At 35.4% G+C, this 19523-nt stretch overlaps 1 protein-coding gene and 1 pseudogene across 3 annotated transcripts in view; both read left to right on the forward strand.

Moving 5' to 3' along the window:
* PTEN (phosphatase and tensin homolog) overlaps positions 1-19523 on the forward strand; it is a 108306-nt gene that overhangs the window by 67094 nt on the left and 21689 nt on the right. For 2 of the 3 annotated variants that reach the window (NM_001304717.5, NM_000314.8), the window contains 2 exon segments: positions 328-371; positions 2295-2533. In NM_001304717.5, coding sequence (NP_001291646.4) covers positions 328-371; positions 2295-2533 — 283 coding nt within the window. 3 annotated transcript variants of the gene reach the window in all.
* Positions 14762-15362, forward strand: RPL11P3 (ribosomal protein L11 pseudogene 3; annotated as a pseudogene).

Raw genomic sequence — 19523 nt, forward strand, 5'->3', positions numbered from 1 at the left:
AGATTTTTCATAGAGGAAATTTGAAAGCATGGAAGCACCTGAATTTACAGTACTCTGTATTAGTGGCATCACAAGTTTTTAAGCAAATGTATTAGCTCTAATTGCATACACTTAATCTTTTAAGCTTTGGTTTTATTATTATAATATGGGGGTGATAACAGTATCTACTTAATAGAATTCTTGTTATTACATGAAATAATTAATGTTAAACACAGCATAATATGTGTCACATTATAAAGATTCAGGCAATGTTTGTTAGTATTAGTACTTTTTTTTCTTCCTAAGTGCAAAAGATAACTTTATATCACTTTTAAACTTTTCTTTTAGTTGTGCTGAAAGACATTATGACACCGCCAAATTTAATTGCAGAGGTAGGTATGAATGTACTGTACTATGTTGTATAACTTAAACCCGATAGACTGTATCTTACTGTCATAACAATAATGAGTCATCCAGATTATCGAGTGAGATACATATTTAAGAATTATCTTTAAAAATTTCAAAAATTTTAATTTTACTGTTGTGTTTTAGGAAAAAGTATTGCATAAAGCTATTAATATTGTCAGGAAGACTAAAGTGCAGCATAGACTAAGAATTAGGAAAATTCCTAGACTAAAAATAGTATAAGGAGAGGGTTTACCTACTATTTGAGGCAGTTGGTCTAATAGTAAGCAATCACAGGGAGAAAGCAGAACTACTTAACTCTTCTGTGTTGAGGAATGACATAAAAGGTAGGAAAGGATATAACAAATGTTGATAAGAGGAGTCTGATGGATGAGAGGAGGGAACTGCTTTAAATGAGTTTCTACTTCAGACATAAGTTAATTCTCAGAGCCCACAAAAACTTTCACTTTTATTTGTGAAATACAACTCAGTTCTCATGGCTTAACACTTTAAACCATGAGAAAACTGAAGAGTTGAGAAGCTTGGCAGATGCTGCTGTGATAGTCAAAAAGAAAGTGGGTGCCATGAGCTACTATTGATGTATTTGCCATTGATCCCTCCTGAAAATCTAGAATGGACTTTCAGACAAATGGTTTGAAAATTCTAAATCACTAATGATTGAGATTTAGTATAGGTTTACTAAGAACGGGTTTTTTTTGTTTTTGTTTTTGGTGGATTTAGGCTGTTGCTTACTAAGCAAAGCAGGCTTTAGTTGAGGTTTATCTTGCTTTAAACAGATATTTAACAGATTTTCCTGGAGGTTTTTGTGTACCACTGGGAAAATGAAGTTAGGCAGATGACTAAGTGAAAGCTGTCCTGCTGACTCCTTATAATGATAGTCATTGTCTACCAGAAGATCTCTCCTGTCACACCAAAGGATAATTGATTATATCCTGTACCATATTATGAGTCACCTGATTGGAGATATAAGACATACTTCTCACATATTTAGATGACACAGGTTAGTACATTGAATATCAGCCAGGGTTTTTAAGGATCTTAATAGAGTGGAACTAAGGTAGAAACTATTAAGAGCAATTAATAGTGATATATCTATAGTCCTGTTTCTAAACAAGTTTTTTTAAAAACCTCAACTCTGACTATAGTGAACAGAGAAGTCTTGGACTCTTACAATTCATGTGAGAAGACCTGAAACTTTGATAACAATTATATACATTTTGTGAGTAATTTCTTTGGTGTATGCCTTCACATATCTCTGGTATGTGACCTATGCTGCAGTCCATTGAGCATAGATTCCCAGAATGTATTCTCCTGCAGAAAATGGAGGAAAATAATACTTGGCTTCCCTAATGATTACATGTGTATACAACACTAACATTTGCAAGACCACCTTTAAATAACACACTTAGCATTTTTATTTTATGAAATGTAATATGTAGTTCTTTGCATAGTTTATCCTATTAGTAATCTATTCTGTCTTTGGAATATGTTTTGTGATGATGAAATAAATACTATAAATAGTATTATTCCTTTTGCATTGAGAGTCCTGACGAAATGTCCATGTGACAGTTCATTTTGGGTTTAGCTCTACCTCTAATATGTGACCTATGCTACCAGTCCGTATAGCGTAAATTCCCAGAATATATCCTCCTGAATAAAATGGGGGAAAATAATACCTGGCTTCCTTAATGATTATATTTAAGACTTATCAAGAGACTATTTTCTATTTAACAATTAGAAAGTTAAGCAATACATTATTTTTCTCTGGAATCCAGTGTTTCTTTTAAATACCTGTTAAGTTTGTATGCAACATTTCTAAAGTTACCTACTTGTTAATTAAAAATTCAAGAGTTTTTTTTTCTTATTCTGAGGTTATCTTTTTACCACAGTTGCACAATATCCTTTTGAAGACCATAACCCACCACAGCTAGAACTTATCAAACCCTTTTGTGAAGATCTTGACCAATGGCTAAGTGAAGATGACAATCATGTTGCAGCAATTCACTGTAAAGCTGGAAAGGGACGAACTGGTGTAATGATATGTGCATATTTATTACATCGGGGCAAATTTTTAAAGGCACAAGAGGCCCTAGATTTCTATGGGGAAGTAAGGACCAGAGACAAAAAGGTAAGTTATTTTTTGATGTTTTTCCTTTCCTCTTCCTGGATCTGAGAATTTATTGGAAAACAGATTTTGGGTTTCTTTTTTTCCTTCAGTTTTATTGAGGTGTAATTGACAAGTAAAAATTATATATAAATACAATGTATAATATGATGTTTTGATGTATGTGTATATACATTGTGAAATGATTACTACAGTCAAACTACTTAACATATTCATCACCTCACATAATTATTATTCTCCCCCCAGGGTGAAAGCATTTAAGATCTACAAGCTACAATTTTCAATTATACAATGTTATTATTAACTATAGTCACTATGCTGTCCAGTAGAGCTTCAGATCTTGTTCATCTTGTGTTCCTCCCTCCCCACCCTCAGTCCCTGGAAAACAGGTTTTAAAGATAGTTGCTAATCCTTATTTCTTCTAAATTTTTAAATCAGTTGCTGCCTCAATTTCTATATGAGAAATGACTGATTGATTTCATTTTTCTGTTCACGCTACCATTTTCATATCATACTAGCACATGTTACCCATTAACTGTATTGCAGATTTGGTCTCACAAAATTCTTCTAAAATAACATTTTTAAAAAGCATATTAATCAAAAATAAGCTTTATATTTCTGAAGCTTGTTTGAGCATAGAATGCCTTTGGATAAAATACCATTACCTAGTAAAGTGTGAACTTTTATAATCCATAAAAATTATTCTTTTATAAGAATATTCATAAATGTAGTTAGATTAATAGAAGATTCTCGATTCTTTGATCAGAAAACTAAGGACTATATTGAAAAATCAGTGACAAATTTAATTCTTATAGTACATCTGAAAGAAAAAAGAAAACTCTTGGGAGAACTTTTACAGTGATTTAATTTTGCTGTTGATATATTTCTTTGGGTGGTAAGTATGGCAAAACATGTTAAAATTTAATGCAAAGAGATTTTGTACATTTTTCCATCTCTAAGAAGGACAAAGCCTAAGCCCCTCCAGATAGATAGAAAAACTCATTTAGAGAGTTCTCCTTCATGTTAATCTAATTTCTTCTTAATTCAGCTGTAAAACAGAAATAGAATGATCGTATTAATCATTTAAAGCTGTGTAATTGCATAGATTCCTTGTTCCTTTACCCCCTCTTATATCTTGTTTCCTATCCTTTGTGACTTTTTTTGCATTATATATAAGGATGCCGAAATACTGTTTATTGTTGATAGTTTACAAAATTGAATCTTACATTAGTGCATAATTTTGGTGAATGTTGAAGATTATGGTAGATTGCCTTACATTTCTGCATATTGTTTGCACCTTGGAATGATAGCACTGGCATGAATTATAGAGCTGAGGATCTAAAGATTTTTACTTTGATTTATCCCATTATCATCTGCAGGGAAACAATTGCTTTTACTGATTAAAAATGCAGGCTGGGCACAGCGGCTCACGCCTGTAATCCCAGTACTTTGGGAGGCCGAGGCGGGCGGATCACAAGGTCAAGAGATCGAGACCATCCTGGCCAACCAACATGGTGAAACCTCATCTCTACTAAAAATACAAAAATTAGCTGGGTGTGGTGGCGCGTGCCTGTAATCCCAGCTACTCAGGATGCTGAGGCAGGAGAATCGCTTGAACCCGGGAGGTGGAGGTTGCAGTGAGCCGAGACTGTGCCACTGCACTCCAGCCTGGTGATAGAGGGAGACTCCATCTCAAAAAAAAAAAAAAATGCAGTAGCAAAAGCGATGGTAGAAATTTAAAACAGAGTTGATGAGCAGCATATATTTTGGTAGTGGAAAAAAAGGTAAAAAATTTTTTGTAATAAAATAGAAAAATTTTGTAATGTGGAGGCGCAGAACACTAGATTTAAGCCAGGGGGTCTTAAATTGTGTTACATTCCTTTTAAAGTCTGATGGAAGGTATAAATGTTCTCCCCTCAAAAAATGTGCATAGTGTACATAAAATTTTGCAGTTTTTATTACATTGAAATATATTCTTTTAGACAGAATGTAAAAGAACCTTCATGAAAACTATGTCACTTTTTTATGCAAAAACCAGTGGCTACTACATGAGAGCAATGAATAAATCTAAGTGGTACAAATTAACCAAAATTAAGCTTTAGTTCTGTTCAATACTAAATTTTAATGAAAAGACTGCTATTTAACTTTTAAAATAACAAGTTGAAACTATGCTCTTTGACTTTGACTTTGCAACTTTTATATGATCTTTGATATCCAATCAGTGTTGACTTTGGTAAAAAGTGCTGAAAATGCTATTTTACAAAAGAAAGAAGAGTAAATGGAATCTGTAGATTCTATTGCCTGATGAAAGTAGACGTGTCAAGAAATAAGAATTCTCCAAGGCTCTTCAGATAAATTCATGTTTCATCATTTTCTTTGCCTTCAAGTTACTGAGATCATTTTTGGCAAGATCTGTATCATTAATGCTGTGTTAGGAAAGAAAAGATTATGACTCCACATTTTACTTTCAAGGTTGAAGAGTTAAACTGTTTAAAAAGAGTGTATGTTATCCTGTAAACAGCAGTATCAGGCTGTAGAATTTGTCTTCTGAAAGCAGGGAACTTATATATAGCAAAGAACTTCATAGTGCTCCCATTTCTTGACAAAACCTCTCGAGAAGCTCTTGATTGAAAGTCTTGGCTTTCATGAATCTGGCAGCTTTCACAATAGTGGATTTTTCATGACAAATCATCTTACACAGGGAATTATTCAAGGGTTGGCACTTGAAACAGTAGAATACTTTCACAACAAGAGATAAGATTTCTTTCAGGATTGATGACAGTCTTGCACCCTAGCGCATACTGATGAAGAGAGCAGTGGGTGACCATGACATGGAGAGCTTCTGTCTTTACCAGTGCCCCAATATCAGATGTGTTGTCTGGCAGTAAGGTGTACTGTCTGCCTACAGAATACTGAGGTTTCTTCAGGAGAAGTTTTTTGGTAAAGAAACTTTACCATTTTGAAAGTGTTAATGTTTTCTGAAGCTTCCAAAAAGATTCCAAAATGGGAATGTTTCCTTGATTGTGTCACCATGCTTGCATTTGATGAAAACTTGTAGCCGGCTATACTGAGAAATCATATCTGAAGAAAGGTGGTACTTCCAATCTTTTTGTGACCTACTTTATTATTGTTTTTTTAATGTCAGGGTTTTTTTTGGAATGGAGAAAAGTATTTGATAGAGGTATTGCAACAGTCTTATTCTTCTTCATGCTACAAGTATATTTGACTCTTTCTAAGATACTTGCCTTCACTGTTCAACTGTGTGACTTTTTGTTTGTTTAGCATTACAATCAATATCCTAGTAGGATGATTTAATCAATGATTTTTAATTGGAACAAATAGTTTTTGTAATGGTCTAGGCTTTTCCAACTTAACTGTGCTCTCACATGTGGTCTCTTTTTCTCCCTCTTTCCTCCTTCTTATACACTCTCACCCACACACATATGCATACATACCCTGTCTGATGTATCTGCTTCTTCAGAATAGTTGGCTGTGCTCTGCTGATGATGAGAACTTGCCATTTAAGAAGGACTTGGGATAGTCCATGTCATCATGTTCAGGGATAAAAGTAAAACCCAAGGGCATTTAAACTTTATTGTATTTTATTTTCTGTTTCCAGTCCAAATTAAATCCAAGAGAAGGCTCCATAATCAAAAAGTAAGGACATATTTTAAATTTGCCAATGGGAAGATATTCTAGTCATTACAGTCTGGTAATACTATCAATTCTGTTTCTCTTCAGAGGTGAGGGGAGACTATTTGATGAAATCGTAAGTCCTGTAGGGTGTTGTGAAATAGGGCCAGAATGAAAGATAGCAAGAATAGTGTTATGAAAATAAAATGCAAAGTTTATAATATCATGTGGTAAAATGTAATAGTATTTACTTCATCAGTAGAACTGCTCTAGTAGCTGTATATTCTCCATCCTTGCATAGGTTGGAATATCCCCCAAGTGAAAAGAGATTGATGGGCTAATAGTTAATAGAAAATGGAGATCTGTACATACAGTGTTAAGAATGTAGATATTAAAATTGTTATATTTAGCTGTTACATAATATTAAGACTCAGAGTTAAGTAATTTCACTGAAATTGATTGCTTTTTGTGTCTTGGAGTCAAAATAAATAACTGAAATCTACTATACTTGGCTCATGCTTAATTAATATACTTAGACCATATTTCGGATGAATTATTCACAGAATCTAAAGGAGTATCCTCGTGTTCTTACCTTCTTTATCCCTGTGTTTATTTAAAAAGGCAAAAAAAATGGAGCAGATGCTGTTGGTTGACCATATTTTACTGAACAGTAGCATTTGTGTTTAGGTTGAAACAGCATTAGAAAACTAGATACGGATTAAAGTCAGTGGTAGGTTTTTTTTTTTTTTTCTTCCAGGAATGTTTCTTATAGATGATCAAACAGGCACAGGAAGGGGAAGTGTTGTGATCAATATTATCCAGTTAATATTAGCATTCAGAGGAAAATTTGAGTCCTCTGATACACTGTTAAATTTCTTTCTATACTATCAAGTCCACAAATCCTGGAACTGCAAAAGAATTTTGAGACTGTTCAAAATAATTAATCTCTGTATAGGCTCAGGCTTTCCTGCAAGGTTATGAAATGCTGATAAAATTGGTCTTATTTTGAAAGGCTCCTCAGCTTATACCTTTCCTTACAAATGCTTCCTTACAAATGCTAAAGCATTTAATGACTCCTGACTTAAAGGGAATTTGGACAGATTGAGGTTGTTGGTCTTGGAAATATAATACTGCAGGCTTCTGTAAAATACTTGAAATGTAATTGTTTTAAAACTTTCAAAGATACCACTTGTTTGCCTGTTGGTTAGAATACTGGTGAAATAATTTTTAATCTTTTATGAATAACTAATTTCATCATAAGAAAACTTAGCTAAGCATGGTAAAGCTGTTGTTATACAACTGTGGAATTCTTCCTGAGGAGTAACTATCTTATAATAAATGTAGTTGATTATCTAAAGTAGTTTTATTCTTGGAATATCTCATAATAGGTTTATTCTCTTCTTGTCAGTATTTCCTTGTAGATTGAGCCTGTGGATTTGCATTTTTGTAATTGTGAATCACCATTATAGGAGATACATGCATTTTATCTACTTTTCAGTTTGTATGGGGTTAACTTTATTAGAATTATCTTTAATGTTATTTTGCTTATATCCTTAATTTTAATTATAGACAAACATTAAGAAGCTGGAGAAAATTATGTTCTAGTGACATTTATATAGAAGAAGAATCTTTTTTCCCCCTTTCTTTTTTGAAGGGAGATGAGGCAGTCATATTTTGGTAAAGAATTTGTAGACTTTGCAGAGGTCTCTTCAAAATAATCTGGCTCAGAGTCTTGACATATCCTCAGCAGACATGGTGCAAATTAGATGGCAGAGTGGTGGGTACAAGTTGACCATAAAATAACGCATTAGGTTAGTAATGCCCAAATAATACTTTGGGTTTTCAGTGTTGCAGAGAAGTCAGACAACTGATAGTTATTATAAAGAAAAATGTTCTGAGAGTGAGGTAACCGCTTAAGGGAAGGAAGCCTCCTTCTGTCTTATTCACTAATTTACAAGAAGATAATTGTGTTACACTTCCTTAGGAGTCATTCATTTGTATATTTGACACTTTTGCTTTATGAACATGTGAAGATTATTCAAAAGTAAGCTGTTGGTGATTTTTTTCTTCCAAGAAAGCATGCCACAGGGCAACTTCTAGGGTTGGTTCTCATCTAGTCCTGTGCTCCACACTATCTGCATCTGCACTTAAGTTTCAATATTAGATAACTCACATGTTTAAACTATGAAGAAAGAGTTAAAACATCCTGAGAATGCTAGTAAGTATGTATTTTTGAAAGGACTTCCAAAATTTGAGTTTAAAGAGGTAAACTCCTTTTACATGACAAAGTTACTTAGAAACACTACTGCTGTTTCCCTCTCCCTTGCCTTCTCCCTGTCCCATGCATACCCCCAGCTGTGTTCCAGAATGATGGCACATAAAGTAAACATTCATATTTATTTCCCTTTTTTTGTTTTTTTTTTTTTTTTTTTTTTTTGCTTGTTTGTTTTGTTTTTTTGTTTGAGACAGTCTCACTCAATCACCCAGGCTGGAGTGCAGTGGCAACATCTCAGCTCACTGCAACCTCTACCTCCTGAGTTCAAGCGATTCTCCTGCCTCAGCCTCCCGAGCAGCTGGGATTACAGGCGCCTGCCCCCACGCCTGGCTAATTTTTGTATTTTTAGTAGAGATGGGGTTTCGCCATGTTGGCCAGACTGGTCTTGAACTCTTGACCTCAAGTGATCCGCCCACCTCGGCCTCCCAAAGTGCTGAGATTACAGGCATGAGTCACTGTGCCTGGCCTCTTATTTTTTCTTTGGTTAAACTTTTAGGGAAAAAGTTTGAGCTGCTTTTAATTTTCTTTTTGTTTTTAAATAAATTATTAAAGTTTCTCTATGTTAGGAACTCTTGTGTACATGAGTTCATTGAGCTTATTCTTAATAAAGACAAATCTTCTAGAAATAATAGTTGTATCTTTAAATGATCTCAAGGAAAATGTTTGGTTTCTCTGGGGAATGAATTTTCATGACCTAATCTTAAATCAGGTTATTTTTTCTAGCCTGTTTACTAAATTTCTACATGTTATAACCTAATGAAATTTTCTTACTTCCTCTTTATTTAAAACAAACTATAATTACTGTCTTTTTAAAAATCTTCCAATGTGGCGTTCTTATTTTTCTTAACATTTGAATTTTCCTGGGCCAAACCATGTTACTATGATACACATTATTTAAGGCTGTTATATAATACAGTAAAATTGTAGAACTTTCATACCTTGAAGGATCTTAGCAATTATTTAATTCAAACCCATTCTAACATAGATGATAAAACAGATTTGCAGGGTTGGGCACGGTGGCTCATACCTATATTCCCAGCACTTTGGGAGACTCAAGCGGGAAGATTGCTTGAGCCCAGGAGTTCAAGACCAGCTTGGGCAACATAGTGAGAGGCTGTCTCTACAAAAAAATATTTAAAAAATAGCCGGGCATGGTGTCACGTGCCTGTAGTTCCAGCTGCTTGGGAGGCTGAGGTGGGAGGATTGCCAGAGCCTGGGAGGTTGAGGCTGCAGTGAGCCATGATCACACCACAGCACTCTAGCCTAGAGCCTCCCTGTGTGGCAGGCTCTACACTTCAGATAGGCAACAGATCGAGACCTTGTTTCACAAAACGAACAGATCTGCAAAGATCAACCTGTCCTAAGTCATATAATCTCTTTGTGTAATAATAAAAACCCCATCTTCTAACCTTAAACCTGGTATTTTTTTCTACGAAACTATGTTCTGCAGTCCAAATTATTTTTCTTTATTATTTTGAATCCTAAAGTAGAAATAGAAACTTAGAAAAATAAAAAGCAACTCCTTTATGACATATGAGGACTTTTTCAGTTTTAAATAAGAAAAACCCAACTCAAAGTAGCTTAAATAAAAGGAGACATTTTTTGACTTACATAACCTAAAAGCTCTGGCCTGGATCTAGGTGCTCAACAGATCTCAAGAGTATCTCTCTTATTCTCTCTCCCTCCCTTACCCTCCTCCTCTTTTCTCTCTTCTGTATATATGTTATTTTCAAACAGGCTCTCACAAGTAGTGGCAAGATATAGTTCCTAATAGCTTCAGGTTTGCATTCTACCTACTTTAGCAACTATGATGAGAAGAGAGCTACAATTTGAGCAAAAATTTGTAGGGTGAGTTCTGATTTCCCTGGATTGAGGCACATGCCTATTATTCCTGAACCAAATATTCTGTCCAGGGAATGGAATTCTCTGGGGCATGTATCTAAAGCTGAAGTGTAGAGCCTGCCACACAGGGATAATAATAGTTTTCCAAAGAAAAATCAAGGAGGGGAAAGAATGTTGGAAAGAGAAAAAAATATCAGTTGTCTGCTTCACATTTGTTCTCAATAATTAGTTTCATAGAAGTGAAATACTGTGTAACACCCTAAACTTTAGAGATTCTTCGTAGACAGGAAAAATAAGAACTCAATGAAGTTGTGACTTCATTCAAATCACGTAGTTTATATACATGCTATTAGTAAAACCCAGGACAGCTGAGTACAAGTTTTACCCTTATATTCACATTGAGGTCCAGATCCTGGTTTTGAATGAGATAATTACGTGCAGTCGGACTGTTTTCTGATCCTAAAAATAGAGACAATAATATCTATCTTGTAAAGTTATGGTAGTGTTAAAGATATATAAAATGTTGGCAAGTACCTTAATATACAATAACTACTGCTATATGTTGTCATTGTAATAATAATCATATTTCTTCCTTTGTTGAATTGCTTTCCTGTAGTAATCTTATTGTGATCATCCTGAAACATAGATTTCCGAGCTTCAAGCAAACACTATTATGTTGAAAAATCTACATTATTTCTAAGTTTAGCAGTGCCAGTGGAAAGTTTATTGAAATAGAAAATTACTTTTTTAACTGAGGAGTGTAGATTGTGAATTCGTGATTCATCTTCTTAGGAGATGATCGGAATATTGATAAATATTGATGCATAGAATATGAACAAAACATTACATATCTTGTGCTGTGATATTAAAGTAGTATTCTGTTCTGGTAGTAGTATGGCAGTATTTTAGGTCTGAAAGATGTACATAATCTGTACTTTGAAGTCTGTTTTTTAAGAGATTAATCACAAGAGATTTACATAAAACAACTAAGGTTAAAAATAAATGGTGGATTAGAGATACATCAGGCAAATTTCAATTTCAAAAGCAGATGACAGAATCTCAGTATCAGGGTAGCATTTAAAGCAAAAAGCATTAAACTGGATCAAAAATGTCATTTTACATCAACACAGGGTACACTCCAGGTAAAGACTTAACAGTTATGAACGAATGTGCTAAACATCAAAATGTATTAAGTAAAAGCTGAAAGAAATGAAGAATAATTGGTAGAAAAGCAATGATAGGAATCCTTAATGTACTTCAAAAGGCACGAAGTAAGAAGGTACAGTCATGTACCACATAATGATGTTTGAGTCAACACCTGACCTGGTATACGACAATGGTCCTATAAAATTATAATGGAGCTAAAAAGCTTCTATCACCTAGTGATGTTGAAGCCGTTGCAATGCAATGTATCACTCACATGTTTGTGGTAATGCTGGTGTAAGCAAACTTACTGTACTGTCAGTTGTATAAAAGCATAGCACAGTTATGTTCAGCACATAATACTTTATAATGATAAACGAATATGTTACTAGTTTACGTGTTTACAGTACTATTATTTTAGCATGTGCTTCTGCTTATTAAAAAATGTTAACTATAAAATAATCTTTAGGCAGATCCTACAGGAGGTATTCCAGATAAAGGCATTATTGTCATAGGAGATGGCAGCTCCATGGATGTTATTGCCCCTTAAGACCTTCCAGTGGGACAAGATGTATAGGTGGAAGACAGTGATATTGATGATCCTGACCTTGTAGAGGCCAAGGCTAAAGTATGTATTTATTAGTTTTTAACAAGAGTTTAAAAAGTAAAAAAAAAAAATAAATTTAAAAATAGAAAAAATCTTAATAAGGATACAAAGAAAAAATGTTTTTGTGTAGCTGTGTAATATGTTTTTGTTTTAAGTTAAATGTTACAAAAGAGTCAGAGTTAAATTTTTTTATATTTATAAAGTGAAAAAGTTATAAAATGCTAAGGTTAATTTACTGAAGAAAGAAAAAATTTTTAAACAGATTTAGAGTAGCATGTTTATAAAATCTACAGTAGTTTACAGTAATATCCTAGGCCTTCACATTAACTCACCACTCACCCACTGACTCACCCAGAGCAGCTTCCAATCCTGTAAGCTCCATTCGTGGTAAGTGCCCTATACAGGTGTACAATTTTTATATCCTTTATACCATTTTTACTGAACCTTTTCTGTCTTTTAGATACACAAATAACATTGTGTTACAGTTGCCTATGATATTGAATACAGTAACTTACTGTACAAGTTTGTAGCATAGGAGCTGTATCATATAGCCTGGGTGTGTAGTGAACTATACCATCTAGGCTTGTGTAAGTATATTTTATGACACAGTGATGAAATCATCCAGATACAGTTTCTCTTAAGCAACACATAACTGTATATATATATATATAGGTGGCTTTAATAATAAAATAATGAAATATATTTCTTTTTTTCTGTCATTGACAAAACAATTACCAGTCTTACTAATTAGATCAACTGCAAAACAAAATCTCACTCAAAAATAAAAATATGTAAGTCCCATTCCTTGATTACAATTCATTAGAACTGGAGATTTTTAAAAATGTTTAAATTTATATGGAAATATAAAATCATGTTTTAAATAATTTTTGATTCAATGAGGAAATGTAAATTTAGAACTAAAGATTAATAACTAGAGATTTATAAAGGCAAAAATGTTAATGAATTAGGAAACAGTAAACCATTTGAACTAATCTAAATACTGATTGCATGAAAATGCCAATAAAATCAATACATATTTTTAAAAGCCAGTCAAGGATAAAAGAAAAGAGGGAAACTAAAAGTGAGACATTAAGTATGAGAAAGGAGATAAAACTAAAGTGTGGAGGTGATGTTAAAAATTATATTCAGGTCTGTGCTAATCATTTTGGAAATTTCAGTGAGAAGTGGGCAATTTTCAGTGAATATATCATTGTAAATGCTTTGAGGAGAGACAAAATCTGAATAGACCCTGCAATAATGAAAATGTCTAGGAGCCCTCAAGAAATACCTGGTTTAAATTGCATTTCAGGTGGCTGGTTATCACACCTTGAAGTATCAAGTAATTATGTTATCTAAATTGGACCAGGTGTTAGAAAAATATGTGAGACTTCACAGGTGGCTGCTTATGTAGCCCTTATACCTTAATCTGATAAAGGTAGCATATATTTAAAAAGAGAGAAAACCAGAAGGTACAATTTAGGGAAAATTAAATACTTCTATTTGGCCAAAGTAAGAGTACATTCAAGGGAATTGTGAGAGGTAAGAGTGGAAACAGAGGTTGGAGCTGTATTTTTATGCTGTGATTGAATTACAGTGTGTGATAAATATTGCTCTTATTTGGGTAGATTACCATTTAACATTTTGAATTAATTGGTAATTGGATTAATCTTAACTTTTAAAAAACTAATCTGAGAGTGGTATAAAGGATAGATTACAGAATGGATAAAGGGTGATAAATCAGTTGGCTATGGCAAAATTGCAGGAAGAAACTGAAATAGGCCACAGAAAACTGAAACTGACATTTTGAGTAGTATTTCAGAATCAAGATCTGGATTTTGGCAACTGAATAGATGCGTAGGAATCAAAGATGAGTATACTAAATGAACTTAATCTATGATTTGTCTGTCATTTTATTGTGTACCATTAGTGTGTATGCATGTATGTATGTGCCAGGTAGTTAATAGGCTGACTGTGTCTCTTAGCTCCACTCTGCTGCCTGGGCCTTTGCCATAGTGCTGGAGTTCCCTCACTTCTCTTTTCTGTAACCCTATTATATTACTGCTGTCTCTCAGCTGTGTTTCATTCCTCAAGCAGAAAGAAGATGGGAGGATCATATAGTAGTTGACTAGAAGCTGTGGAGTTTGAGTGCTGGGATTATATCTAGTTCCATTACTTATGAAGATTATATCTAGTTCCATTACTTCACCTCATCTATAAAATGGTTTACCAATAGTACCTACCTTACATGGTTTTATGAGTATTAAATTATGTATTTCTAAAGACATTTAGAACAATACAAAGAATATAGTGTGGGCTCAATAAGTGACGATGGTGTTAGTTATTAGAAGGCCATCGAGTGCTGGAGAAAATAATTGAATATCATTGATGGAAATAAAGGAAGTTTTCCACGTTAAAAAGCTTCGGTTTTTGGAAATGTGTGTTTTCAGTATTTCTGAGATTACCAGGTAGAAATTCCAGCCAGATGTTGGAATTCTGCACTGGCAGTTGGGAATAAAGTCATGTTAAAGGAGATAAGTTTTGGAGTTATTGTGTAAAATTGGTAAAGCACTGGAATAGATTGGTTTGACAGAGGGGAAACTCTTTTTGAGATAGGCCTATATTTAGGGACAAGAGAAGAGACAACCAATAAGGGTTGAAAGAAACCTTGAGAGAGTAAGTCCTATGACAGAAGCAGGGAAGTTTCAGAATGATTGCAGAAAGATCAGCCAGGCTCTTCCTGTTCTCCATCGTGGTGCAGGATCAAGGTGAAAAGGATAACCCCATGCAGGAATTTTGCATCTGCAGGCTCCGCTTCAACATCTGTTTAGGAGAAAGTGGAGACAGACTGACCTGAGTAACTAAGGTCTTGGAACAGCTTACAGGTCAGAACCAGGTGTTTTCCAAAGCTAGATATACTGTTAGCGCCTTTGGCAACAGAAGAAATGAAAAGACTGTTGTCTGCTGCACAGTTCGAGGGGCCAAGGCAGACGAAATCCTGGAGAATGATCTAAAGGTGCAGGAGTGTGAGTTAAGAAAAAATAACTTCTCAGATACTGGAAACTTTGGTTTTGGGACCCAGGAACACATTGATCTGGGTATCAGATATGACCCAAGCATTGATGTCTACAGCCTGGACTTCTATGTGGTGCTGGAAAAGCCAGGTTTCATCATTGCAGGTAAGAAGTGCGGGACAGGCTTCATTGGTGCCAAATAGAATCAGCAAAGAGGAGGCCATGCGCTGGTTCCAGCAGAAGTATGATGGGATCATCCTTCCTGGCAAATAAATTCTCATTTCTACCCAAAAGGGTAATAAAAAGTTTTCAGTGAAATGTTTAAAAAAAAAATAAAAAAAAGATCAGCCAGCAGCCAGGATGGGATTGTGAAAACAGCAGGAAATTAGTTGTTGACAAAGCATTAATGACCATTAAGAAATCAGCCTCGGCTGGGCATGGTGGCTCATCCCTGTAATCGTAACACTTTGGGAGGCCAAGGCAGATTTCTTGAGTCCAGGAGTTGAGACCAGCCTAGGCAACATGGCAAAACCCTCGTTCCTCCTTAATAAATAAATAAATGAATAAATAAACAAGCAAGCAAGCAGGGCTTGGTGTTAGGCGCCTGTACTCCTAGCTACTCGGGAGGCTGAGGGGGTTGAACCTGGGAGGCAAAGGTTGCAGTGAGCCAAGATTGCACTACTGCACTCCAGCCTGGGTGACAGAGTGAGACCATGGCACCCCCCTCCCCTTCAAAAAGAAATCAGCCTCATAATCAATTTCTCTGGATTAAGGAGTAAGAGCGTCTCAAGATTTGCTGTTTATAGAGAGGGAGGCTAATAGTTTGAGAGAGATACAGAATCTAGGGAGAGTGTGGGTTTTTGGTCTTTCAGTTGTTTGCCAGCCTTGGATAAAGAATGAAGATTACTTGAGCATATTATTTAGAGACAAGTGGAGAGAATAAAGGCACATGCCAGATAGGAGATAATTAATAAAGCACTTGTCCAAAATAGAAACTTGTTGAACAGGAAGAGACGTCAAGTATAAGGAGATTTTAAGATGGGAGAAGGGAATTTTGAGTGTTTGTATTGGATGACCTCAGGGTTCCCAGTAAAGCAGGAGCTGAATTCATCGAAGGTGATGTGTTGGTCAGGATCAAGAGAGAGGTTGGGAGAACAAAGTGCTAAAATCGTTGTGGTCAAGAGTTTAAAAAGTGTATACCAGAAGAGTTATTGAGTGATAGGGGTTTGAAATAGGCAAAGCTGTAGGAAAGGGGGCTGGAAGGAATATTAGGAGGAACACTAAATATACTTCTGAGGTCTACCTCCTGGTCTGTGAACATAAAGGAGCTGAAAGAGTAATGGCTGAAGTTCTTTAGTTTAGCTAAAGTTTTTTAGCTAAAGCTAGAATTGTTGAAAGTTGTATTTGAGGAAAAAAAGTTAAGGATACAGTTGACCGTTCGATAATGTAGCCCACTGTTGACCAGAAGCCCTACCCACAACATAAACAGGCAATAACACATATTTTGTATGTGTATTATATAGTATATTCTTAACAATAAAGTAAACTAGAGAAAAGAACATGTATCAAGAAAATCATAAGGAAGAGAAAACACATTTACAGTACTGTACTGTATTTATTGGTACCATACATTTATGTTGCTGTTTACAAGATGAAGCATCTGTCTGAAATGGCCAGCAGCTACAGCTGTACCTATCTACTGTACATATCAAGCAAGTCACTTTATTCTTATAATGTCTATGACTTCTTTCTTTGAAAGCGCTTCCATCATCACTGTTGGCACTTCATATGGGTCTCATGGTGTTAAGGTTTACGGCATTGCACTAGACACAATGAAAACTACACAAGAGGGCCGGGCACGGTGGCTCACGCCTGTAATCCCAGCACTTTGGGAGGCCGAGGCGGGCGGATCATGAGGTCAGGAGATTGAGACCATCCTGGCTAACACAGTGAAACCCTGTCTCTATTAAAAATAAAAAAATTAGCCAGGCATGGTGGCACGTGCCTGTAATCCCAGCTAATCGGGAGGCTGAGGCAGGAGAATCGCTTTTTCCCAGAAGGCGTAGGTTGCAGTGAGCCGAGATCGTGCCACTGCACTCCAGCCTGGATGATAGAGGGAGACTCTGTCGCAAAAAAAAAGAAAAGAAAAAGAAAAGAAAAGAAAAACACACAAGAGCCGTGAGAGAGATAGCTTTTGATTGCAATACACAATTTACTGGAGAGATGAGCTGATCATACAGAGATGATTAGTGTCACACAGTGTTTTAAACAGATTCTTGCAACCCTGGAGTTCACTGCAGTAGCAACAGAAGTTAGCTATGAGATTTTAACAGTAGTATAGTATGTACTACAGTTAATATTAGGTAGCTATGATTTAATGCTGCATCTTTGCATTTGTTTACATTTATCTTGACTACAAGTGGTATTATGTCTGGTCTTAAGGTTTGTGTGCATATGTTTTGATGAATTTTAACTTTTTATAATAGGTTTGTGTATATTTTATGGCAGTAAATGATAAAACAGACTAATCTACATATATTTTATGTAGTCATGACATAAACCTAACTTTTTCTTAACTTTTTGATATTTCTAGTCTATGTGTTTCATCTGCAGGTTTTTTCAAATTGTTGAAATCTCTGAAAAATTTTATTGAAAAAAAATCCATATATGTAAGTGGACCCACACATTTCAAACCTGTGTTCAAGGGTCAGCTGTGTAAATAATTTTCCTCAAAATTAAAGTGGAAAAGGAGAGTTACTACTAGTAGAAAGTAGAACTGTACCCTTGGGCAGGGGTGTGTGTGTGTAGTTAAAGATCAATTTAACTTAAAAGGTCTTGGTTAGAGAATAAAAACTGGCCCTTATTAGCTTTAATTTACATGAAAAATGAAAAATTTTAGGCCAGGCACAGTGGCTCAGGCCTGTAATCCCTTAACTTTGGGAGACCAAGGGGAGTGGATCACTTGAGGTCAGGAGTTCAAGACAGCCTGGCCAACATGCTGACTCACCCTTCCCTACTGAAAATACAAAAGTTAGCCAGGCGCAGTGGCCATCCCTACAGTGCTAGCTACTCGGGAGGCTGAGGCAGGAGAATTGCTTGAACCCGGGAGGCAAGGTTGCGGTGAGCTGAGATCGCACCACTGCACTCCAGACTGGGTGACAGAGCGAGACTCCATCTCAAAAAAAAAAAAAAAAAAAAAAGATTTGAAAACAGAGTATTTTTTAATCTGCAAGAGCTTTACAGCCTTTTATTCATATGTATAAGCTTTTAAAGATGACTAAAATTTTAGTGTGGACTTTCCACTCATTGGAAATCCTATATTGCAGGTGTTAATTCAATTTTAGTGAGTGTGCATCATGGCTCAGAGAGATAGGACTAGAATGAGGAGGTCACATTGGAGACTCTGAAACAGATACATGTGAGCCTCCCAACTTTTTAATATTTGTTAATCTAGAAGTGTTGAATTTTGGGTGCTGACAAGGCAGCAGGTAGATAAGAATTGCAAAGTTAAGAAAATAGACTGTAATATTGATGGTAAACTAATTGATTAAATTTTAAAATGTACTTTTCCATGTTTTTCTTTGAATTGTCAGTAATTTTGTTTCAACTGGTATTCATACATAGATTATTCACCCAATGTTGACAACTAGTAGATTTATATATTTTTTATGTTGCCTATCCTTTTTTGGGTAAGGATTAACAGAATGTATAATCACCTACATTATAGGTACACTACTAATCACTTGCTACTTGAAAAAACCTAAAGCTTTGAAATCTTTTTATTATTGCACACAAACTTATGCCAAAAATGGAGATAAAGAGAAAAATGTCATCCACTAAACCCCAACAAATAATGTTGACAATGTGGTCTACTCGTAGACTCGCATTGACTTAATTTTTTTAAATCTTATTGCATATTTTGACTAGATAATAAATGCATATGGTTAAAAAATTCACATGGTTCAAAAAAGTACACCTCCCACTCATCTTCCATGTGATATTTCCTTTCTGCTTAGCAATTCTGTATTTATCTTGCTAAACATGAATGACAGTTGTTTGCTGAAATTACATTAAATGTGACGTAATAAAATCATTGTAAGTTTACATTTTTTAACTTTAATAATTTTTAATGTTTTAATGAAGAGTATGAAGAGTAGTAGTACTGCTCTTCAAAGTACTACTACTTTACCTTACCTTTTACTGTTTTGTTAAGAAAATTAGGCCGGGCGCAGTGGCTCACGCCTGTAATCCCAGCACTTTGGGAGGCCGAGACGGGCGGATCACGAGGTCAGGAGATCGAGACCATCCTGGCTAACACGGTGAAACCCCGTCTCTACTAAAAATACAAAAATTAGCCGGGCATGGTGGTGCGCGCCTGTAGTCCCAGCTACACGGGAGGCTGAGGCAGGAGAATGGCGTGAACCCGGGAGGCAGAGCTTGCAGTGAGCCGAGATCGCACCACTGCACTCCAGCCTGGGCGAC

Source organism: Homo sapiens, chromosome 10, assembly GCF_000001405.40.
Source record: "Homo sapiens chromosome 10, GRCh38.p14 Primary Assembly".
NCBI lineage: Eukaryota > Metazoa > Chordata > Mammalia > Primates > Hominidae > Homo > Homo sapiens.